Source organism: Homo sapiens, chromosome 3 (assembly GCF_000001405.40).
Source record: "Homo sapiens chromosome 3, GRCh38.p14 Primary Assembly".
Classification (NCBI taxonomy): domain Eukaryota; kingdom Metazoa; phylum Chordata; class Mammalia; order Primates; family Hominidae; genus Homo; species Homo sapiens.
Genome location: NC_000003.12, coordinates 132555478 through 132580812, shown reverse-complemented (window position 1 = coordinate 132580812; position 25335 = coordinate 132555478). Strand labels below are relative to the sequence as shown.

General features: G+C 38.3%; 1 protein-coding gene and 1 long non-coding RNA gene across 5 annotated transcripts in view; both read left to right on the top strand.

Annotated features, from left to right (window-relative positions):
• ACAD11 (acyl-CoA dehydrogenase family member 11) overlaps positions 1-22672 on the top strand; it is a 101669-nt gene extending 78997 nt beyond the window's left edge. For 2 of the 4 annotated variants that reach the window (NR_132428.2, NM_032169.5), the window contains 7 exons: positions 1255-1321; positions 1932-2017; positions 3798-3869; positions 4887-5041; positions 19596-19712; positions 20871-20980; positions 21728-22672. Coding sequence is in view for 1 of the 4 variants with exons in the window: in NM_032169.5 (NP_115545.3) it covers positions 1255-1321; positions 1932-2017; positions 3798-3869; positions 4887-5041; positions 19596-19712; positions 20871-20980; positions 21728-21842 (722 nt within the window). In the remaining 3 variants the exon portion in view is untranslated. Of the gene's footprint in view, positions 1-1254; positions 2018-3797; positions 3870-4886; positions 5042-19595; positions 19713-20870; positions 20981-21727 lie in introns of all 4 variants that reach the window. The other 2 variants (NR_132426.2, NR_132427.2) reach the window with 2 other exon arrangements.
• The window catches only part of NPHP3-ACAD11 (NPHP3-ACAD11 readthrough (NMD candidate)), a 164322-nt gene extending 141647 nt beyond the window's left edge, over positions 1-22675 (top strand). Inside the window, exons 40-45 of the long non-coding RNA NR_037804.1 lie at positions 1255-2017; positions 3798-3869; positions 4887-5041; positions 19596-19712; positions 20871-20980; positions 21728-22675. This is a non-coding gene — a long non-coding RNA (NPHP3-ACAD11 readthrough (NMD candidate)). The remainder of the gene's footprint in view (positions 1-1254; positions 2018-3797; positions 3870-4886; positions 5042-19595; positions 19713-20870; positions 20981-21727) is intronic.

The window sequence follows — 25335 nt, the reverse complement described above, 5'->3', positions numbered from 1 at the left end:
GAAAAGAAAGGGTAGCTGGTTGAGGTTTCATCTGTTATTAACTTCTGCCCATCTTCTTCCCATAATATTTTGAAATAAATCTCAGACATCATGTCATTTCTTTCCCAAATATTTTAGTATGTGTCTCTGTAAGGGCTCTTTAAAAAATGTAACCACAATACCATTAGCACACCTAAAATTACTTAATATCATGACATTTCCAATAACTATTCACATTTCTAATTGCTTAATAATTACCATTAATACTTTTTATTTTGTTTGATTGAATTAGGATCTAAGTAAGGTCTAAAAATTGCTGTTGGTTGATACGCCTTTTAGGTCTCTCTCTTTTGATCTTACAAGCTACTTCTCTATCTCTCTTTTTTCTTTTTATTGCAATTTAATTGTTGAAGAAACTGGATTAGTTGTCTTATAGATTTCCCACAGTCTGAACTTTACTGATTACATTCCTGCAATGTCCTTTAATATGTTCCATGGAGTTTATCCTTTTAACTCCTGGAATTTTATAATATTATTCAACTATTTGACATCATTCCTAACATTTCTCATTAAATCTTTATATGATTTCAAATCTCCTCAAACCTCTTTTTATAATAAATCAGAAAAAAGAATCCGATCATTTGTTTGAGACTTTGTACAGATGTGTTTAACTTAATCTGATCCAGTTGTGTGCAGCCTTGTAATTGAAAATCTAGTCAAATGGTAGTTTTCCCAAGGGACTAGACTTACTAGTAAACATTAAAAGTAATTTTTGCAAAAAGACCCTTGTAGGCAATTGCCACAGACCCCTGAACTGTGATAAAATAAAATTTTGCATTAAAATGAAAAAATATTTTTAAAATTTGACCCTTAAGAAATTAATAAAAGAACCAGGCTTATTGAAAGTGGGATCACAGCCTCATATACGTTGACATATAAAATATTATATTAGACATATAAAATTTCTCAGCTTTTCTAGCATGCTGATGTCTGAAATGGTGTAAATGGGAGAGGTGGCAGTTCTTTCATGCTGCTTTGACTTCTGGTTATTTTTGTGTAGCAGCTTTCATTGATGGGGTCCATTCTTGGCCTTGCCTAATCATTTTTCTTGGATGATATAGAGTGTTACAAAAGAATTATTATCTTAATGAATCAGGAATGTTCTCTCTATTTGTTTTCTGACATAGGTAAAGTGGGAAGGATTAGAACCTTCAAGGTGAAATGTCAAACTAGAAATTTCCTTTTATAATCTGCTTGTGTTCCCCTTGGTTTTAGGAGCTGGGAATCCCAAGTGCAAAATTGCAATTGTTTTGGGAAGAACTCAAAATACTTCTCTCTCCAGGTAATTAAACAATTCTGATTGAGAAACCTGTGTAGGAATGAGCCAGTCTTCCTCCTATCTAGGTAATTTACTTAAAATTCACTGTTTGGACTCACAAATCATAATGTAAGATATGAGAGTAAATGTCATATATTTGTATTTCACAAGTATTTTCTAACAGGTGTTTTTGGAAAACATTATAGGGAGTATTGCTGAACATTCTTCGCTGTGGAATTTTCAGTATTAGAAAGTGTTGCTAAATTATCAAAGCTGTTTGGATTAAATTATCAGACAAATTTTTTCAGACCTGTGTAATGAAGTGATTAGATGTTTAGATCAAAGGCAATAATCTTGAAATGTTTAATTATATATATAAGTTCCCAGTTACCATTGTTGAGCAGTGAGAAGCTTCAATCAAACAACTCATTTATTTTCAAATCATTGTTTCTGTTCCAGATCACAGCCTGCATCAGACTATGTTGGTGTACGTCTTTTACACAGTTCCCATTCCAGTCATCACTGCTTACATGACTACATGAAAACATCAAAAAGACAATTGTGATTCTGCTTATTATCTGTTTTATTTTTCTTCTTAGCAAACTTTTTCTAATACAATTTTTCTTTTGACTAGACACAAACAGCACAGCATGATTCTTGTTCCCATGAACACACCTGGAGTAAAAATAATAAGGCCTTTGTCAGTTTTTGGCTACACAGGTAGGTATCCAATAAATATGACCATGCATTAGCAAGCAGGAAGGCTAGAATATGCAGTAACATTGAAGGCAATAGCATTTTAATGCATAAGATAGATTCTTAGATATTCCTTTGTCTGTGACAACTGTCTTAATATAAATGCTGGTGGAGTTCAGAGTAGAGCCAATAAAAAGAAATAGTATAGCATTTATGTAATTTATAATTATATAAATTATAGAATTTATAGAATATAAATTCTGCCTTTTTGGGAAAGGGCAGATTGTATTTAAGGAAGAGCAACACTACCAGTCTTTTCTCTGTCATTCATAAAAATGGATTAATGCACAGATAATCCACAATAAAATTATTTTTATCTCCAATTTTAGCCCTCTTAATCAATCAACTTACAAGAACTGTTAAAAAGCAATGAGTTTTTGACTTATTTGAGTGCAAAATTTTCCTTCCTCTGCCCTTGGGTGGGACTTCTAAGAAGCAAAGATCCATTTGTTTCCTGCCACCTACTGTGGCACGTGTTCATTGTGTACAATAAATATTTGCTAAGATCACCCTCTCAGCAAGTATTTGCTTAGCCACCATGCCCAGCTAATTTTTGTATTTTTAGTAGAGACGGGCTTTCACCATGTTGGCCAGGCTGGTCTCGAACTCCTGACCTCAGGTAATCCACCCTCCTCGGCCTCCCAAAGTGCTGGGATTATAGGTATGAGCCACCGGGCCCAGCCCCTGGCTTTCTTTTTATCATTGAATATGACTAATGAATATGTTCAAGTGGCAGATATAAGACTTGCAGTTTTATAGAATCACTTATCAGTTAAGATGCAGCTGTAGAGTATACCCACAGGGTAAGCATAGGTGGCAAGATGGGATGAGCAAGCTTGCTGGAGAAAATTGCATGTAGGAAATTGTTGGGTTGCAGCGAAACGGCCGCAAAGATACCAAAAATGCGTTTATAATATAGTTGAGCTGCAAATAATTTCCATTGCAGAGGCTACATTTGATTATTCAGTATGAAAACTTTACTAGCACCTCTCCAACTCCCTGTGTCCAGGGCCAAAAGAAACAGTGTGGAGAAGGCTGATTATTGTCTCCTCTGACAGGAAAAGGGTGTAGAGTTAGCATGAGATTATCTCTAAAACTTGGCAGGGAGAAGGGGTGATGCAAAGATAAAATGTGAACGTGTTCCTGGCCTCAGTGTTTCAAATGCCAGTATTTTCAAGAGACGAACACACAGTGGAACAAGTCTAGACTGGGAGTAAACCTACCTGAAGGTCTAGTTTCTGTATCATCACTAATGCCAAGCCTGCTCTTTCCCCTCAAGCAGGCCCCTGTCATCTTTAGGCGTTGGTTTCCACAATGATAAAATAAGAAACATGGATTACATTACTCATTTTTAATTTTTGAAACATTGAAACTTTTTTCCATGCAAATTGTTTGGAACCCCATATGTAAAATATTTCAAAGAAGCAGCAATAATAAAACAAATAAAATACTCTGGCTGGATCTATGGAGCCTGGTCTTCCTTTTTCCTAGCTCTCTGAAATTGTACTTCAGAGAATGAATTAGAAAACATCTGGATCAAAGGGTTTCTCTTCTTGAACAGTTGATGAGTTTTCTGGGCTGCTGGGTCCTGGGGTTCAGGGCTGAGGCTTACCTCAGAATGTTCATGCCATATGGATCTTTGAAATCCTATTTTCTTCAAGTAATTATATTTCAGCAGATTAAGAATATGTGACTCTTTTTTAGTCAACTCCTTTTGCTCTAAATTTTATTTTCTATTTTATAGATAATTTTCATGGAGGACATTTTGAGATCCATTTTAATCAAGTGCGAGTTCCTGCCACAAATCTAATACTAGGTGAGTTGAATTTGGAAATGATTCTTCAGTATTGTACATTAATATTTCAGCTCTAAATCTGGAAAAGATAAGTCTTTCCAGATTTAGACCTGAAGTCTACCTTGATTTAGATATTAGGTTCGTGCAAAAGTTATTGCGGTTTTTGAACTGCAATTACTTTTGCACCAAGGTAATTGCAGTTTTTGGCAAAAGCCGCAATTACTTTTGCACCAACCTAATACTTTCCCTTCTTGTTTACTCCATTTGTCAAGGGAAAGTTTTCTGTTTGGCGGATTTTCTTACATGGAATGGTGAGGTTTTATTTAAGTGTTGGATGTGGTTTTCTATATCACATCAATTGAAAAGATAATATGAAAATTATATAATTCAGAGCAATACACTTTCTCCTAGAACATGATCTGTAGGCCTCTATTTGTTTTAAGAAAACCTCAGTACTTTATGAATTCAAGTATTAGATATAAGTTAGAAGCATAAATAACTTTGAACACTGTATGCCATCCTCTTGCTTATTAGAATACTATATCCCTTTCAAAGAACATCTAGAATACCACCTCTTCCAGGAATGTTTTTGTGTTCATCCCATCCATTCACCAGGCCCCTGATACCTGCCAGGCCCTGAGGTTATAATGATGAACAGAAAATCTCTTCTTCCTTTGCCTTTGTTTCTCTCTGTATCTCTTACCCTTACCCACTCTTCTGGATTCTAAACTCCTAGTACAGGGACTATGTGTTATTCCAACTTTGTATCTATTGCAGCATTAATAAAATAGCTTATGCATAGTACATACTTAAGAGACAGTTCTGAAATTTGAAATGTTTAATGGTGGTGGTTTTAAAAACATAGAAATCAAAATTCCCATGAATTCATAGTGAACCTTATTATAGAACTGACTTTTTTTCACTAGAAAGCCATTTTTATTAAGGGCAGCTCATCTCTTTCCCAGGATTTGTATAAATAACAAAAGGAATGGGCTAGGCCATTTTCACATTCCCCCTTTTTTTCCCCTTTCTTCCCAGGTGAAGGTAGGGGATTTGAAATTTCCCAAGGCCGCCTTGGACCTGGCAGAATCCACCACTGTATGAGAACAGTAGGTTTGGCGGAACGCGCTTTGCAGATCATGTGTGAGCGGGCAACACAAAGGATAGCTTTCAAGAAGAAGTTGTATGCACATGTGAGGACGATTACTTATTTGAATTTATTGTAGCCCGGTGCACTACACTAACATTGAACAAAAACATTACTTGTGAGAGACAGACTTTCTCTACATGAACCGGGTGATTCTTTTCAATAAGGCATATTTATGTCTGTATTTAAATATAGTCTAATGAGAGGTATTTATCTTTATGAAAAATTAAATAGTTCCTAAAATGCTTCAACACCTCTGCACACAAGAGTGTAGACAGTTCCTTCAACTTTCTCAGATTCTTGTTCTTTAGAGAACCTGGAACATTAGAGCTCCCTGTGGACATGAAGGAGCTGTCATAAGGAAGAAGGATTTGCCTTGTCCATTGGTTTCCTAGAAGGAATTAGGACACATAAGTGTAAAGTTACAGGAAAACAGCCCAAAACTCAGGGAAAGGAGAAACATGCTAATAAACCTAAAAGTGGAATCAGCTTCTTCAGGAGGACTTGAATTCTGTCACTGGAGAAACACAAGTAGAAATGGGACCAACATTTTGTGAGATATTCATGACTTTTTGAATTATCATCTGTAAATTATATACTACTGAGTCTGTTGTTACAAATCACTGTAAACATAGTTACATGTGGCCCATATAATAAAAATTAGGAAATATGGCCAGGCGCAGTGGCTCACACCTGTAATCCCAGCACTTTGGGAGACCGAGGCGGGTGGGTTGCCTGAGCTCAGGAGTTCAAGACCAGCCTGGGCAACATGGTGAAACCCCGTCTCTACTAAAATACAAAAAAAAACAAAAAAAATTAACCAGGCATGGCGATGTGCACCTGTAGTCCCAGCTACTGGGGAGGCTGAGGCAGGAGTATTGCTTGAACCCGGGAGACAGAGGTTGCGTTCAGCCAAGATCGTGCCACTGCACTCCAGCCTGGCGACAGAGCGAGACTCTGTCTCCAGAAAAAGAAAAAAAATTAGGAAATATGTATTGAGATGAAATAGAAGGTATTATTTCAGACTTCCTTAAAAAGTCTTCTACAGAGAAGTAGGATATCCACATCATCTCCCTTCTAAGTTTTAAGAAGGCAAGAAAAACTATTATTAAATGTTCACTCTTTATTATTGCTAACATGTTAGTGTTAGGTCAAATCTGTGGTGATGGAATTGTATTTGTGTTTGCTGCACATGTATATTTTAGTATGTCGGTCTCCTTATACATTTTTGACCATCTTATGAAATTTGCAGTATGTATTTTTTACCTTAAATTATTATAATCTATGTTTGCTTTTTGTAAAGTATTATTCAGCATTATATGATTTATTTGTATAGTTTTTTAACTGAAAAGCTACAGCCCGCTTTATGACACTACACCTGGGAATAATTTGTCAGGAGCCCTTTTAGTATACAGCGAAGGCAAGTTTTTAGTATACAGCAAAGTTCAGCTGTTGGCTGGGCACTGTGGGAGGAGGTGAGAAAGTGTGACCCTCTGGGGCCCTGGATACAGCCTCTGATGCTGTTGAAGAAGGATGAAGAGGTGCTCAGGGCACCAACCATTACTTCTTACCCTTTTGTCAAGCTTGCATGCAAACTCTGGAGCAGGGTGAAGGGAGGACACAGTAAAGTCGACAAACAAGCATCGCGAATGCACAAAAGCCCTCTGTGCAAGTGCTGCTTTCCTGAGTGGTGTTTTAATACTGCATTAGTAAAAAATTTCCCTTCCACCTTTTAAAGTTAATGTGTCATGCAGAGCAAGCCTGGCTTTTTAACAAATATGCCTGTTTTCACTGGAAACTTTTCACATCTGGCACAAATAACGTGATCTGGCAGAAACAAAAAGATGTGTGAGCATGTCATAAGCAAAAATCTGGGCCAGCTTTTTTATTTTAATTTGTGAAAGGAACATTTCATTTCTTTGAATTTGGAGGCTCCTTCCAGCTGCCTTCTAATTTACTCCAGGCTGTAACGCAAAAAATTCTCCATCCCAGTTCTGTCTTAGGAAATATATTTGGCAGTTCCCTAGAGCACCTAGTTTCTACCCATTTAATGCTTTTCAGCAAATCTAGGGTCTATAGAGACCCAACTGAGAATACCTCCTTTATTCTAAAGCTGAGAAGTAAATGTCTTCTAAGTCTGTTCATGAAGTTATAAAGTTGTAATTATCCTGTTTTACAGCCATCAAAAAATATTTATTCACCACCAGCAACTTGTTTGAAATTAATTCAGAGCCATGTTTCAACCTCTAGGGCAGTGCCATCCAAAAGAAATATACTATGAACCTTAAATGTTATTTTAAATGTTCTAATAGCAACATTTTTAAAAAGTGAAAAGAAAAAGATGGAATTAATTTTAATAATATATTTTATTTAACCCAATATATCAAAAATACTATTTCAACATGAAATCAATATAAAAATTATTAATGAGATACTTTATATTTTAATATTTATTCTTCAATATGGGGTGCATATTTTATACTTATAGTACATCTCAGTTCAGACTAGGTATGTTTCAAATGCTCATTAGCCACATATGGTTAGTAGCTATCATGTTGAACATCACCGCTTTAGGGAAACTCTAATCAAATATCCCCTGTTGAAGGGCAAACATGACCAAGCATAAAAATGGCCAAGGTGTGCATGTTCTCACTCATAAGTGGGGAGATGAACAATAAGAACACATGGACATGGGGAGGGGAACAACACACACCGGGGCCAGTTGGAGGGTGGGGGCAAGGAGAGGGAGAGCATTAGGACAAATAGCTAATGCATGCAGGGCTTACAACCTAGATGACGTGTAGATAAGTGTAGCAAACCACCATGGCACCTGTATACCTATGTAACAAACCTACACATTTTGCACTTGTATCCCGGAACTTAAAATAATAAAGAAGAAAAGAAAGGAAAATAAAAGGACAATTAAACGTCAAAAAAATGGCTAAGATGTAAGGAAGGTGCGCAGTTTCAATCCCCTGCAGATGGCTAGCAAGTTATCCCAGCACCATTTATTGAATAAGGGAGTCCTTTCTCCATTGCTTGTTTTTGTCACCTTTGTCAATGATCAGATGGTTGTAGGTATGTGGCCCCATTTCTGGGCTCTCTGTTACATTGGTCTATGTACCTGTTTTTGTAACAGTACCATGCTGTTTTGGTTACTGTAGCCTTGTAGTATAGTTTGAAGTCAAGTAACATTATGCCTCCAGCTTTGTTCTTTTTGTTTAGGAGTGCCTTGGCTATTTGGGCTCTTTCTTGGTTCCATATAAATTTTAAAATAGTTTTTCCTAGTTCTTTGAAGAGTGTCATTGGTAGCTTGATAGGAATAGCATTAAATCTATAAATTGCCCCAGGCAGTATAGTCATTTTAATGATATTGATTCTTCATATCCATGAGCATGGAATGTTTTTCCATTTGTTTATGTCATCTCTGATTTCTTTGAGCACTGTTTTGTAGTTCTCCTTGTAAAGATTTTTTACCTCCCTGGTTAGCTCTATTCCTAGGTATTTTATTCTTTTTGTGGCAACTGTGAATGGGATTGCATTCCCGATTTGGCTCTCGGGGAGTGCTAGTGATTTTTGTTTGTTGATTTTGTATCCTGAGACTTCGCTGAAGTTGTTTATCAGCTTAAGAAGCTTTAGGGCTGAGACTGGGGTTTTCTAGATATAGAATAATGTCTTCTGCAAACAGGGATAGTTTGACTTTCTGTCTTCCTGTTTTGATGCACTTTATTTATTTCTCTTGCCTGATTGGTCTGCCCAGGACTTCCAATACTGTGTTGAATAGGAGTGGTGAGAGAGGACATCCTTGTCTTGTGCCAGTTTTCAAGGGGAATGCTTCCAGTGTTTGCCCATTCAGTATGATGTTTGCTGTGGTTTTGTCATAGATGGCTCTTATTATTTTGAGGTATGTTCCTCGAATACCTAGTTTATTGAGAGTTTTTAACAGAAAAGTTTAGCAGAGGTGTTGAATTTTATTGAAAGCCTTTTCTGCATCTATTGAGATGATCAAGTGGTTTTTGTCTTTAGTTCTATGTGATGAATCAGATTTATTGATTTGCAAATGTTGAACCAACCTTACATCCCAAGGATATAGCCTACTGGATCATGGTGGATAAGCCTTTTGATGTGTTGCTGGATTCTGTTTTCCAGTATTTTGTTGAGGATCAAAGACTTAACTGTAAAACCCAAAACTATAAAAACCCTGGAAGACAACCTACGCAATGCCATTCTGGACATAGGAATGGGCAAAGATTTCATGATGAAGATGCCAAAAGCCATTACAAAAAAAGCAAAAATTGATCAATGCAATCTAATTAAACTAACGAGCTTCTGCACGGCAAAAGAAACTATCAACAGAGTAAATAGGCAACCTACAGAATTGGAGAAAATTTAGCAAACTATTTGCATCTGACAAAAGTCTAACATCCAACATCTATAAGGAACTTAAACAAATTTACAAAAAAAAAAAAAAACCGTTAAAAAGTAGGCCAAAGACATGAACAGACTCTTTTGAAAAGAAGACAGACATGTGGCCAACAGGCATGTGAAAAAAAGCTAAAAATCACTGATCATTAGAGAAATACAAATAAAAAAAAAGCCACAGTGAGATACTATCTAACACTAGTCAGAATGGCTGTTATTAAAAAATAACAGATGCTGGGCTGGTGAGGTTGTGGAGAAAAAGGAAGGCTTATACACTGTTGGTGGGAGTTCAGCCATTGTGGAAAACAGTGTGAGGATTCCTCAAAGAACTTAAAACAGAAATACCATTTGACCCAGCAATTCCATTACTGGATATATACGCAAAGGTATATAAGTCATTCTACGTTAAAGACACATGCGTGTGTATGTTCAGTACAGCACTATTCATAATAGTGAAGACATGGAATCAACCTAAATGCTCATCAATGATAGACTGGATAAAGAAAATGTGGTACAGAAACACCATGGAACATTATGCAGCCGTAAAAAGAATAAGTTGATTTCTTTTGTGGGAACATGGATAGAGCTGGAGGTCATTATCCTTAGCCAACTAACGCAGGAACAGAAAACTAAATACCACATTTTGTCACTTATAAGTGGGAGCTAAATGATGAGAACACATGGACACATAAAGGGAAATAACAGACATGGTAGCCTACCAGAGGGTGGAAGGTGGGAGGAGGGAGAGGGTCGGGAAAAATAACTAATGGGTACTAGGATTAATACCTGAGTGACGAAATAATCTGTATAATAAACCCCCATGGCACGAGTTTATCTATATAACAAACTTGCACATGTATCCCGAATTTAAAAGTTAAAAGTAAATAAAAAAGATATGATTACCATCAGAAAAAAAATAAAATAAAATGTAAATATAATCTGGAAAACACAGGTATGGAAGGTTAATATGGCTCGAATCAAAGCACCGTAATTGTCTGCTGGTTTAACTCATCTTGATGAACATTTTTCTCCATTGTAAACACCAATTCTGTGTTTAGAATTGGAAACCAATTCTGTGTTTAGCTTAACAGTAACCCACAACACTTGGACCAACTCAATTCTGTGTTTAGAATTGGAAACCAAAAAACTCCTTAGAGCCTGCTGGACACGTTTTGTATGCCTCCTGGGTTTCATTGCAGAATTCTGAATGTTTGCTTGCCTGTGGGACTTATGGTGAGGTTTGATTTTCATATTTTTCCACTTACCTCCCTGCTTCTCTTACAAGTTCTGACAAATTGGGAAAACTCACAGAATGTTTTCTAAGCTAAACAAGAAGCAAGTACCAATTTTTAAATTCAACTTTTCACTTTGAGATAATTACAGTTTCACATACAGGTATAAGAAATAACATATAGATCTCTTGAATCCTTTGCCCAGTTTCCCCAATGGTAACATCTTGCAAAACTAGAATATAGTATCAGGACCAGGATGTTGTCATGAATATAGTCAGAATACAGAGCATTCCATTCACTACAAGGATCCTTCATGTTGCCCTTTTATAGCCACATTTACTTTGCTTCCACCCCAACCTTCTCATTAACTCCTGGCAACCACTAATCTGTTCTTCATTTTACAATTTTGTCATTCCAAGAATGGAGTCATACAATATGAAAACATTTGACACTGGCTGTTTTCACTCAACATAATTTCTCGGAGATTTATCTAGGTTGTGTTTATCAGTAGTTGGTTCATTTTTATTGTTCAGTAGTATTCCTTAGTCTGGATATACTACAGTTTGTTTAACTGTTTTTACCTGTTGAGGGACATCTGGGTTGTTTCCAGGTTTGGGTTATTGCAAATAAAATTGCTGTAAACATTTGTGTAGGCTTTTGTGTAAATATAATTTTTCGTTTCTCAGAGATAAATGCCCACGAGTGCAATTACTGTGTCATGTGGTAGTTGCATGTTTAGTTTTTTTTGGAAACTGCTGAGCTTTTCTATTTTTGATTCTCACTAACTGTGTATGAGTGATTCAGTTTCTCCACATCCCCTCCAGCATATGGTGTTGTCACTACTTTTTAATTTTAGCCATTCTGATGGGTTTGTAGTGATATCTCATTGTGGCTTTAATCTCAGTTGCCCTGTTGGTGAATCATGTTGAGCATCTTTTCATGTGCTTATTTGCCATCTTATGTCCTCTTTGGTTCATGTCCTGTGTCCATGTCCTAGATCACTTTTTTTTTACTTTGAATTTTGAGAGTTCTTTATATATTCTAGATACTATCCTGTCAGATATGTAGTTTGTAAATATTTTCTCCTACTCTGTATCTTGTCTTTTCATCCTCTTAACAGGGTCGTTCACAGAACAAAAGTGTTTAATTTTAATGAACTCTAATTTGTCAATTTTTGCTTATGTGGGTCATGCTTTTGGTGTCAAGTCTAATAACTCTGCCGAATCCTATATTCTGAAGATTTTCTCCCATAATGTGTCACTAAAAGTTTCACATTTTACATTTGTGTCTGCTTACATTTTGAGTTAACTTTTGTATGAAACTTAGGTCAAGCTTCTTTTTTTTTTTTTTTTTTTTTTTTTTGCCTGTGGATGTCCAATTGCTTCAGCAACGTTTTTTGAAAAAGCTATGTTTCCTCCATTGAATTGTTTTTGTGCCTTTCTCAAAAATCAGTCAGACATTATTTGTGTGGGTTTATATATGGGTTGTCTCTTCTGTCTTAATTATCTATGCGTCAGTCTCTGCCAACACTGCACAGTCTTGATTACTGTGGTTACATAGTCAGTCTTCAAATAAGCTAGGCTGATTCCTCTCAGTTTAGACTTCTCTTTCAAAAGTGTTTCAGCTATTCTGGTTCCTTTGCCTTTGCATATAATTTAAAAATAATCTTGTCTATATCTGCAAACATTAAGAAAAATTGATATCTTTACTATGTGGAGTTTTCTATTCTGTGAACCTGGTATATCTCTCCATTTATTTAGCTTTTCCTTGGTTTCTTTCATCATCTACACACATCATCTCATCTGTGTGTAGTTTTCAGCATACAAGTCCTATACATAAGTATTTCAGTTTTGAGCAATTATAATAAGTATTGTGTTTTTAATTTCAGGGTCTATTACTAGTATATGGAAGTATAGTTTTTTTGTTTTGTTTTTTTGAGATGAAGTTTCACTGTTGTTGCCCAGGCTGGAGTGTAATTGCATGATCTTGGCTCACTGCGGTCTCCGCCTCCTGGGTTCAAGCGATTCTCCAGCCTCAGCCTCCCAAGTAGCTAGGATTCAGGTGCCTGCCACCACACCTGGCTAATTTTTTTGTATTTTTAGTAGAGACAGGGTTTCACCATGTTGTATGTTTATCTCATACCCTGTGGCCTCGCTGAACTCACTTATTAGTTCTAGGAGTTTTTTGTAGATTGCTTGGGATTTTACATAGATAATCATGTCATCTGTAAATAAGGAACAGTTTTATTTATTCTTTTATGATATACATGCTTTTTGTCTCCTTCCTTTGTCTTATTGCACTGGCTAGAACTTCCAATACTATGTTGAATAAGAGAGGTGAGAACTGACATTCTTATCTTGTTCTCTGTCTTAGGGGAATGTTAGGTATAATGTTAGCTATAGCATTTTTGTAGATGTCCTGTTGTGGATGCCACCATACCTGGCCCTATATCATTATATTTGATATACATTTCTTCTAAATAACATATAGTTTGGTCATATTTTTAATCCACTTTATCAATCTTTGTCTTTATAATAACTGATATGTTAGGGCTTAAATCGGATATTTTATTTTTGTTTTCTGTTTGTTCTCTCTGGTTATTGTTTTTCTGTTTTCCTTTTCCTGCATTCCTGTGGGTTAATTTAACATTTTTAGAACTACATTTTGATTTATTTATAGTGTTTCTCGAGTGTCTCTTTGTATAGCTGTTTTGGTGGTTGTTCTAGGTATTATATATACATGTTTATCTATCTATCTAGTTACCTTTCTCTCTAGATCTTATTAAAGTCTATTGGTGTCATCATTTTACCAGTTTGAGTCAAGTATAGACATTTTACCTTCCTTTAAGTTCCTTTAACTTCTCCCATTTATAATATAATTGTCTTGGGCCTGGCGCAGTAGTTCACACCTGTAATCCCACACTTTGGGAGGCCATGGCGGGTGGATCATTTGAGGTCAGGAGTTTGAGACCAGCCTGGCCAACATGGTGAAACCCTGTTTCTACTAAAAATACAAAAATTAGCCGGGTATGGTGGCGTGTGCCTGTAACCCCAGCTATTCGGGAGGCTGAGGCACAAGAATTGCTTAAACCCAGGAGGCGGAGGTTGCAGTGAGCTGAGATCACGCCACTGCACTCCAGCCTGGGAGATAGAGTGAGACTCTGTCTCTAAATAAATAAACAATATAATTGTCTTAATTATTTTCTCTAAATACATTTAGAACAACATCAGGGTTATAATTTTTGCCTCCACCATCAAATATACTTTAGAAAATTTTAGAGAAGAAAGCAAACGAATTTTATTAGCTGTATTTTTGCTTATTGTGTTCTTTCTTCTTTCCTGATTTTCCAAGGTTTCTTCTTTTATCTTTTTCTTTCCATTTAGAGAACTTCCTTTAACATTTCCTTTAGGGTCTAAAAGTGACAAATTCTGTTTTGCTTCTTCTAAGAATGTCTTATTTCTTCTTTATTCCTGGAAGATATCCCCACTGGATATAAGTTTCTTTTCTTTCAGCACTAGAAAAATATTGTGCTGCTTCCTTCTGACATATATATATCCCTGCTATAGGTAAGGTGTCATTTTTCTCTGGTGCTTTCAAGATTTTTTTATGTCTATTTTTTCAGAAACTTAATCATGATGTGTGTTGGTATGGATTTCTAGGATTTATCCTGCTTGGGATTCACCCAGCTTCTTGAATCTTCAGGTTTAGGTCTCTTGCCAAATTTGGGATGTTTTCAACCATTGTTTCTTCAAACTTTTTCAGCCTTACTCTTTCTCTTCTTCCTGGAATCTGGTGATGTGAATGGTAAATCTTTTGTTATAATTCCACATGTTCCTATGATGCTGTTCTTTTTTTTTTTGTTTTTTTGAGTTTGTTTTCTCTCTTTGGTTTAGGGTGGGCTGTTTCTATTGTCCTATCTTCCAGTTCACTGATTTTTTTCCTCTGTCCCCTCTGTTCTGCTGTGGAACCCATTTACTGAGCTTTTTATTTGAACTGTTATATTTTTTACTTATAAAATACCCATTTGGTTTTTCTTTACATCTTCTATTTCTTTGCTGAGGCTTTCTATTTTTTCAATTGCTTCAGCTGTGTTTGTAACTGCTCACTGAAGCATTTTTATCATGGCTGCTTTAAAATTTTGTCAGAAATTCTAACATCTCTGTTATCTGGGTGTGTTAGTCCATTTTATAGTGCTATTAAGGAATACCTGAGACTGGGTGATTTATAAAGAAAAGAGGTTTTGTTTGGCCCATGGTTCTGCAGGCTGTACAAGCCTAATGCCAATGTCTATTTCTGGGGAGACCTCAGGAAGCTTACAATCATAGTGGAAGGTAAAGGGGGAGCCAGCACATCACGTGGCAACAGAGGGAACGAGAGATAAGGGGGGACATCCCAGACTCTTTTAAACAATCAGATCTCATGTGAACTCATTACTGAAGAGAAGGCATAAAACCATTTATGAGGGATATTCCCCCATGACCCTCCCACTAGGTTCCACCTTCATGTTTCAATATGCGATTTGGAGGAGACAAGCATCCAAACTATATCACGGTGTCTCTTTATTTTTTAAAAATTAATTTTGAATTGTTCCAGGTTTTTGGTATTATGGGTGATTTATAAAATTGAAACCTGAACAGTTTTATACTGTGAGACTCTGGACCTTTTTAAACCTTCTTGGCTTTCTTTGACACCATTCTGTCAGAGAAAGGAGTGGCATCACCTCATTACTGCTAGGCAGAGAGAGAAGTCCAGGTTCCCCTCCCAGCTTCCATCAGTACCTGAAGAGGATGATGCCCTCATACTGCCAGGTGGGATGAAAGTCCAGGCATCCCATTTGGACTGCACTAACAACCCATAAGATGGGTTGGGGGGACTTATTACTGGCCAGTGGGGAGGAAAGCCTCAGGTTTTTACTTGGCACTGTCTGATACCTTCCTGGCAGGGGAGCTGGGGCACCTCATTACAGTGCTTGCCAGGGTGGAAGCCTACGCTCCCCATCCTGCCTTTGCTGGTGTGAGGAGTGGTGGGGGCCAATGTTTTTTCTGTGGTGTTTGGCTGGAGTAAAGTGGTTATTCTCTAAAAGATTTTTGGCTTGCTAGGCTGCATCTTTCCTGATCCTTTGGTTAGAGAGATTATACTTTTGTTGGGGTGCTTTATGTTTTTGTTTTGTTTTGGTCTGTGCTCACTGACATTTCCAGGTTACTAGATTCTTCAGCTGCCGGGAAGAACCTCAGCAGCTGAGATATATGAGGCAAAAAGAAAACCTAGGAAACACACCACTAGGTTATTCTTTTGGACCTGAAGTCCCTAAATAGTCTGCCTTTTCTCTACCTTTCAGAGTCTTCTTATGTTTGTTTTATAGATAATGCCCAGGGTTATTAGTTGTACTTAACAGAAGGAATAGAGAAAAATATATCGATTCCATCCTTGTTAGAAGCAGAGGATATCAGACATACTTATTTTCTTAGTCTGTGTAGGCTGTCTGTAAGCCACAATGCAGAGCTCTCTGGGAAAACATGGATTGGAGAATGGGGTCTGGAGCCAAGGCTGAAGTAGAGTCTCCTCCATTCCAGATCTAGGACTTGGGACCCACACGCTCTAGTATGTGTACAAAGCACATAAAGTTAACAATTTAGATGAAGTAGACCAATTCCTCAAATCCCATGAACTATCAAAACTCACCGAAGATGAAGTAGATAACCTGAATAGTTCTACAACTATTGTTAGAAGTTGAATTCAAAGTTAAAAAGCTGCTGAAAAAAGAAATCTTCAGGCCCAGATGGTATTACTGGTAAATTCTACTAAACAGTTAGAGAAGAAGTAACACCAATTTTACATATCTATTCCAGAAATAGAGAAGGAGGAAACACTTGTCAACTCATTTTATGAGGCCAGAATCATCCTAATCCAAAACCAGACAAGAACAAACCATAGACCAATATAGATGCAAAAACCACCAGCAAAGTATTACCGAATAGAATCTGGCAGTATGTAAAAATAATCATACAGCATAATCAAGTAGGGTTTATCCCACAAATGCAAGCCTGATTCATGTCTATAACTCGATAATTAAAAATAAATTATTATAATCTGCCAAACTAACAGCAAAAACTGCATGAACATTAAAAAAATCACATGATCATATCAATTGATGCTTTGGCATTTGACAAAATTCAGCATCTGTTTATGATAGAAACTTTCAGCAAACTGGGAATACAAAGGAATTTACTCAACTTTATAGAGAGTATTTTTAAAAATCTAACATCATACTTAATGATGAAAGACTAAATGCTTTTCCCCCAAAACTGGAAATGAGGCAAGAATGTTCACCCTCACTATTCCAATTTATGATCATAGAAGAATTCCTAGGCAGTGCAGTAAAACAAGAGAAAAAAAGTGCATGTAGTTGGGGGAAAAAAGAAGTAAAACTGGGCCTGCTTGTAGATGACAATGTGATTGTATAGAAAATCCTAAGGAACGTATCAAACAAAACGAAACAACCCTCCCAGAACTAATAAGTGAGTTTAGCAAAGTCACAGGATACAAGGTCAGTACGTAACAATTTTATTTTTATATACAAGCAATGAACAATGGGGGAACTGAAAGTTTTAAAATACCATTTACAACAGTTTTTTTTAAGTACTACTCTACCAAAACACGTACAATATCCACATGCACTAAAAAGTAGAAAAAAGTGATATAATAAATCAAAGGAGACCTAAGTAAATATGTAGATTAGAAGACTAACAGATTAAAGATGTTAACCATCCTCAAATTGATCTGCAGACTTAAGGCAGTTCCAATCACAGTCCCAAAAGGACAATTTTGTAGATAAAGACAGACTGATCCTAAAATTTATATGGAAATACAAAAACACTAAAGTAGCCAAAACAATTTGAAAAAGAAGAAAGCTCAGTGAATCACACTACCTAATCTTAAGACTTACTCTAAACTACAGTAATCAGTGAGCAAAAGGCATGTAGATCTTTGGAGCAGAAGAGAGAGTCCAGGAATAGATTCATAGAAATATAGGCCAATTAATTTTTTACATAGGTGCAAAGGCAGTTCAATGGAAAAGGTTACATCTTTACAGTAAATGGTGTTGCAGCAATTGGACATAGATAGGCAAAAGAGGGACCCTTGATCTAAACCACACACCTCACACAAAATTTTAACTCTAAATGGATCATAGATCTAAATGTAAAAGGTAAAGCTGTAAACTTTTAGAAGAAAACATAGTGGAAAAATCATTTTCTGGGATTAGGTAAAATGTTCCTAAACATGCACCAAAAGCAAGGCTCATAAAAGAAAGAATTGACAGATTTCTCATGTGGCAAATGACTAGCGTCCTGAATATATGAAGGACTCTCTAAATCAAATAGTAAGAAAACAACCCAATTAAAAAATGGACAAAAGACTTTAACAGACATATCACCAAAGAGGTATAGAGATGGCAAATCAGTACATTGAAGGGGATCAACAGCAGTAGCCATTACAGAAATGCAAATTAAAACCATGATATCTCTGCACACTTAAAATGACTAAAATAAAATATGATACTAAGTGCTGATGGTTTGAGGAGCAACTGGAACTCTCATACACTGCTAGTAGGAATGCAAAATGTACAACCACTCTAGAAAACTGTCAGCTTCTTAATAAACATTTACCACTGACCCAACAATTCTACTCCTGCTATCTGCTTTAAAAAATGAAAACATGTCCACACAAAAACCCGTATACAAATACACAGAAACTCTATGAATAATCTCGCGATGGCTCACGCCTGTAATCCCAGCACTTTGGGAGGCCGAGGCAGGCAGATCACAAGGTCAGGAGTTCAAGACCAGCCTGGCCAATATGGTGAAACCCTGTCTCTACTAAAAAATACAAAAATTAGCCAGGCATGGTGATGGGCGCCTGTAGTCCCAGCTACTCAGAGGCTGAGGCAGGAGAATCGCTTGAACCCAGAAGGTGGAGGTTGCAGTGATCTGAGATGGCGCCACTGCACTCCAGCCTGGGCGACAGAGCCAGTCTGTCTCAAAAAATAAATAAATAAAATTTAAAAACTGGCAACAACCGAAATGTCCTTCAACAGGCAAATGGATAAACCAACTGATACATACTTACAATGGAATACTACTCAGCAATAAAAAGGAATGAACAGTCAATACACAGAACAATTTGGATGAAACTCAAAGGCATTAAACTGAATGAAAGAAGTTGGTCTCAAAACAATACATGCTATATGATTCTATTTACATGACATTCTGGAAAAGGCAAAACTATAGTGATGGAGAACCTATCAATGGTTGCCAGAAGTTAGGAGTGAGAGGAGCCTGTGACTAAAAAGGGGCAGCACCAGGGAGTTCTGTGGGAGATGGAACTGTTCTGTGTTCTTGACTGTGGTTATTCCAATCTATACATGTATTATAATTCAACTGTCTACTAAAGAAAAGGTCATTTTTAATGAATAAATAACAATAACAACACAGCAAATTGCTGCTGAACTGTCCCCACACTGAAATTGTGCTGAGAATTTTCTAGTTTACCTGTAAGCAGCTTCACTACCATACATTTAGCCAAGTTTCCATGACAGCAGGCAATTAGCATTCAGGAGGGCCTTTGAGTGGTTTGGCGGTAAGGCAGTTGCTCAGTTCAGCCATCTTTACCTTAGACATTAAGATATCCAAAATAAATGATTTTTCTGGGAAAATAAAATTTCTTTCTAAAATATTTCAATTTTAACTGTAAGCATTCCACAAGTATGTGGTTAGGCTGGTGTATATCAAATGAATTAACTCTTCCATTTAAAAATACATAGAGTAAAGCTTGTGAACAATCTCTGGCTTAGAGAGTGTTTTCACCAAACTATAAGACTGTGTTACACGTGGACATCAGATACCAGCTTAGCTCCTCCTTCTTTTGCTGCCTTTTCCTCCCCTATAGGAGGTTGTGGCTCACTGGATTGCTGAAAGCCGCATTGCCATTGAGAAGATCCGCTTGTTGACTCTGAAAGCTGCTCACAGCATGGACACTCTGGGCAGTGCTGGCGCTAAGAAAGAGGTGAGGCTACCTTCTCCCCTCAGACCACCAACTGCTGAGCCTTCTCCAGTTCTCTCACCTGTTGGACATTTCAGTTTTCATGGCATCTTGATGGCACTCAGAATATTGGAAGCCCCCATGTGATTTTGGGTTATAAATTATAAATGCCTGTCACTTGCTAGTCTCCTAGCAAGTGCTTTAGGGAATGATTTTCAGGAGGGAGAATATCTTCAGCATTCTTAAGATACAGCAACAAGGAATGGGGGAAATCATAGGCTTTACACAGCCCTGGAACTGCACCCACTCTGCCACTTTCTTCTAGCCTTGTGATCACGGGCAAAGTACTTAACTTTTCTGCCTAAGGCCTAGGGTTGTTGTGAAGAGTAACCAAGATGATGTACATAGAATGTGCAGAAGCCACGTACAGTGGCTCTCGCCTGTAATCCAAGCTACTTGGGAAGTGGAGGTGGGAGAATTGTTTGAGGCCAGGGATTCGAGACCAGCCTGGGCAACATAGTGAGACCCTGTCTCTTAAAAAAAAAATTAGCCGACATGGTAACTTGTACCTGTAGTCCCAGGGAGGCTGAGGCAGGGGGATTGCTTGAGCCCAGGATTCTGAGGCAGCAGTAGTGAGCTATGATCACACCTGGGAATAGCCACTCCACTCTATTCTGGGTGACAGAGTGAGAGCCTGTCTCAAATAACAAAACAAAAAATGCACAGCATGATACTGCTACATAGTAAATGTTTCATGAAAGAGACCTCTCATCCTTTGCTTTCTTATGTTTCTGGATTATATGAAATAAAGACATAATCATTTAATTCTAAAAGCCCATAAAACTGCTAAAAGAAACCTGATTAATAGCGCAAAGACCCTTGGACTATTTTTATGATCCCTAAGGTGATGAGTGTGATTTATCAGCTGCCTGAAATCCTTTTGGAAACAAGACAAGTTAGAAATAAATGGATAAAATGTGATTTGGAAGAGGTGTCTCTTTCCAGAGGGTCTGTATTGACTGAAATATGGCATTGCAGCAGGATCTCTTTGTTGGCTTTTGTTAAAGATCCTGTTTTAGTGGTGACTTGGATGTGGGAAAGTTTCCTTGTTTCATTTCCCAGTTTTGCCACATTGTGTATAGTCTAAGAAAGAAGCATTCTTTTCATATTTTGCTTATATAGATTGCAATGATCAAAGTGGCTGCCCCACGGGCTGTCAGCAAAATCGTTGACTGGGCCATCCAGGTGTGCGGAGGTGCTGGTGTTTCCCAGGATTACCCTCTGGCTAACATGTGAGTAGATGTCATTTAAGAATCATCTACGTTTGATAGGCGTGGAGGTAAAAAATCTACAGATGCCTTGACATTAATTGCTTATGTTTATTTTCAGTGTAATTGAAGGCTAAATGAAGTGATATACATTAATATAGAGCTCAACACCAAGAAATAGTTGCTCTTATTATTACAATAATCATTTCATTCCATTATGTTAATTTTTACACTGAGGGGTCCCACTGAGGATTCCTGGGCTGTAGATACAGCATGGGGTTTCGCTGAATTTGTAGCAGGACATGTCAGTGACTATCTAATATATAGATCCTGATGACTGGGAGGCAGAAAGGAACATTCTCCATTCCCCATCTGTCCATCTCCACACATAATTACAGTGTCACCTTCTCTATCACAATGGAGATAGAGTCTCATCCTTCATCAATTTTAAACCTTAAGAAAGAACTAAATATATAGTATCATACCAGTCACTGCCTGTTCTAAGTTCTAGCAACATGTAGTAAACTGTAGCAAACCAAGAATGAGATGAACTCCACTGTACTTTGGCATTTAACTTTCCCAAGTTGGAAACTTTAAGATGGCATTGCAGAAGCCCTTTAGCTTATTTTCCTGGTACCCTTTTTCTTACCCTGACCTTGGTGGAATTTAAGAATTAATATAGTCTTGGTTGACAATCAGAGTGACTGATGTCAAAGTATCATGTTCCTCTTCCATAACTCCCTGTGTTCCCTGATTCTTTTGCTTTTTCAGGTATGCTATAACCCGAGTTTTGCGTTTAGCAGATGGACCTGACGAAGTTCATCTTTCAGCAATCGCAACAATGGAGCTGCGGGACCAAGCCAAAAGACTGACAGCCAAGATATAAGGAGGGTGGCACTGCCACATCCCACTGGCAGAAACTCTCCTTTATACAAACTTCATTGGCTCCAACATTTGAATCTCATATTTTTGTAGCAGTTTGAGCACAGGGTTAATTATTCATTTGTGGTAAAGATTATAGCATCTATTTTGATCAGTGGGTTTTATTATTTCAAGGGTCACACAGGGTTAAGTTCAGTAAGAAATGCTGTAGCTGTTGTCATTCAATCTAGTGCCTCCTTGAGGCCAGGAGTTCAGGACCAGCCTGGGCAACATAGCGAGACCCCCATTGCTACAAAAAATTTAAAAATGAAACAAGTGTGGTGGCACATGCTTGTAGTCCTAGCTACTTGGGAGGCTGAGGCAGGAGGATTGCTTGAGTCTAGGAGTTTGAGGTTACAGTAAGCTGTGATCGTGACATGGCCTCCAGCCTGGGTGACCGAGTGAGACTGTTTCTAAAAATAAAAACAAAAAATAAATTTCTTCTTGAGGTGGGGTGGAGGTGGGGAGCAAGAATTTGACCTGGCTCTGATCCCTGGTGTGTTGTGTGGGCCTCTTTAACGTTTGCCACTGAGCCTTAACCTCACTGTACTTCACTGTACTTCACACGCATTGGTGTTAACATTTTAATCTTAGAAGACCCTGACCCACTGAGGGTTTGTTGTGAGAATTGCTGAAGCCACGTAGAAGCACCTTGAAATCTGTAAAACCACAAGAAAGTACTTTATAAAAGGTATCCTTATTTGAAGTGGATAAATCTTGTAACTCGAAAAGTTGTGATTTAGAAGACAGGATTGTTTTTGAACATTAGGAATTAAAGGCTATATCTGGTCCTTACAATTTTGTAATTTGTTTCTCTGTCTGAGGAAAGCTGGCTGGATTGGTTGCTGATTTGTTTTAGTTAATCTATTGTCATGTATCTGGCCATCCCTAAGGCAAGTCACTCCATATGATCTATACTTACCTCTCTCCCTTCCCTGAATTTAGTCAGATAAAATTATGTTAAAAAGAACACCAAGGATTGTTTTGAAAAGGAAAAAAGTCTCCAAAGGATAAAGTGAGAAGATCAGTTTCAGGATCAGGGCCCCAGTCCTGGTGAGAGAATGGACCAACGGTAAACTCCTCAGCATTGTGGCCATTTCTAGGGTTCTGTCTCCTTAGGCTGTCACTGGGAGTCACTAGGCAGCCGTTCATCTGGGACAGTCTGCTAGGTTTGCCATGTGCTTGAAACCACATGGTTTTAAAGAGAGAAACTGCCCTTTCTAATAATCAGATGGCAGGGAGGGAGCGGGGAGGAGAGAGCTCACCAGCCAGGGCTCTACCCATGAAAACCCCTCCAAGATTGCCAGGCGGTCAGCGACAGAGCCTCGAGGAGGGGGCCTTGAGACTGCCGGATAGGGAAGACACCATGAGGCTCCCTAGACTGGTCATGGTCTTTCTCCAGCAAAACATTTAGGGTGCACAGGGGGTAGCTATGATTGTCCAGGGGATGAGCTAGTTAAGGGTCTCTGGTAACTGACCTTTTTAACTATAAGAACACACAACAGAAAGTTCAGCGGATTATGGAGGACTGATTTCCTCATCAACCTGTGGTTATTGATAAAAGCTTCTTCAGGGTGGGTCCTGATCACCCCAGCTGTTTCCATACAACTGTGGTTCACTTAGGTGTCATGGGCATGCACACATTTTGTCCAAGGGAAATAAAGTAGGTGAAAAGCAGTTTAGATACTTTAATGGATACATTGGGCAGGGCTTGCCCAAAACTGCTTTTCTCCTTGATCTTGAGTGAAGCTACAACACAGTGTCGGGGAAGTTCAGAAGGCAGGCATTTTTTACTTAGGCTTTCTAAGGGCTTTAAATTCGTAACATTCTTAAATAAAGGATATAAAGTGCAGTGTATTTATGAAAATGTCTGCTATGAAAAATGTCTTATTTCAGTCAAGCCAGGCAGCCCCGCTTGGCTCCTCCCTTTCTCTGACACTAGATGATCCCTCCCCAAGGAGCAGAGGAAAGGGGAGGGGGGAAGACCTCCTGTTGACAGGCTGCTGTTTGTCTGTCACATGTCTTACTCCACCATTTATTTTGCCTGGATTACTCCAGTAGTCTCTTAACTGGAATTCTAATCTATTCTCACAGCAGCCAGGATGACCTCAAATGCTGCGGTGGCTTCCATCTCACCTAGAATAAATTCAGAGTCCTTGCTTTGGCTGACGAGGTTCCATCTGATCTTGTCCTCTGACACTTCTCTGATCTCATCCCCCTGGCTCACTCGCTCCAGCATAGCCTTCTGGCTGCTGTTCCAACATGCGAGCACAGCCATGCCTCTGGGCCGTGGTTCAGACTGTTTTCTCTGCCTGAAAGGATCTACACTGAGGTTTTCCAGATGTCTAGGTCAAAAGGCACATTATTAAAATGTCCTTTCTTGACCATTGCTTGAAACTAGCACCATGACTGGGCGTGGTGGCTCATGCCTGTAATCCCACACTTTGGGAGGCCGAGGCAGGTGGATGACCTGAGGTTAGGAGTTCGAGATCAGCCTGGCCAACATGGTGAAACCCCGTCTCTACTAAAAATACAAAAATTAGCTGGGCATGGTGGTGGATGCCTGTAATCCTAGCTGCTCAGGAGGCTGAGGCAGGAGAACCGCTTGAACCCAGGAGGCAGAGGTTGCAGTGAGCCAAGATTGCACCACTGCACTTCAGCATGGGTGACAGAGCGAGACTCCATCTCAAAAGAAAAAAATTAGCACCACGTGCATTGTTATTCTCCACCTGCTTATCTGCCTTTGTTTTCCCACAGCACTTATCACCTGACATATTTCATGTTTATTTGTGGTCTGCCTTCTCAAGTGCAAGGCCCATTTTTCCCTCCTCTGTTCACTTCTCTCACTTTTGTGTGTGTGTACTGGTGTCTCCTTGGCCCCTAGAACCATGCCTTACATCCAGTAGCCACTCACAAAGCATATGAATGAATGAATGAGTGTGCATGGATGCTCTCCTGATCCCTGGTTTGCAGCACAGCAAGCGGTGAGTGAGCAAAGCATTCATGTATAGGTCTGCCAACAGAACAGAGCCAAAGCCTGAGCCCCAGCCGGTCAACACAGAGGCTGGACAACAAGAAGGGGTTATGGGTAGCTGGAGAAAACCTAAGCCTGAGAAAGGACATCAGTGTCCTGGCAGTGGGGGTGCACAGCAGTTTGGGCAAGTCAGTTGATGGAACAGGTGTTTAATGAGTATTTAACAATCCAGGGAAATACGCATTTCATTTTTTTCTCCTGATGTCTAATCTAGTCTAATCAGCTGGAGGGCTGTGATCAGCTCTAGGTACAGAGGGAAGTCAGGATGCCTAAAAGAAACAAAACCACTTCTGGTGATTGTTGGAATTTTCCAATTTTCCAAAGAAGCAGGATTCTGGGAAGTGTCCTCCCTAATTCAAGACAGACAAAGAGCACTTAGGATTTATGATCCTGCCGTGATATTTTTATTTCTTTTTCTTTTCAG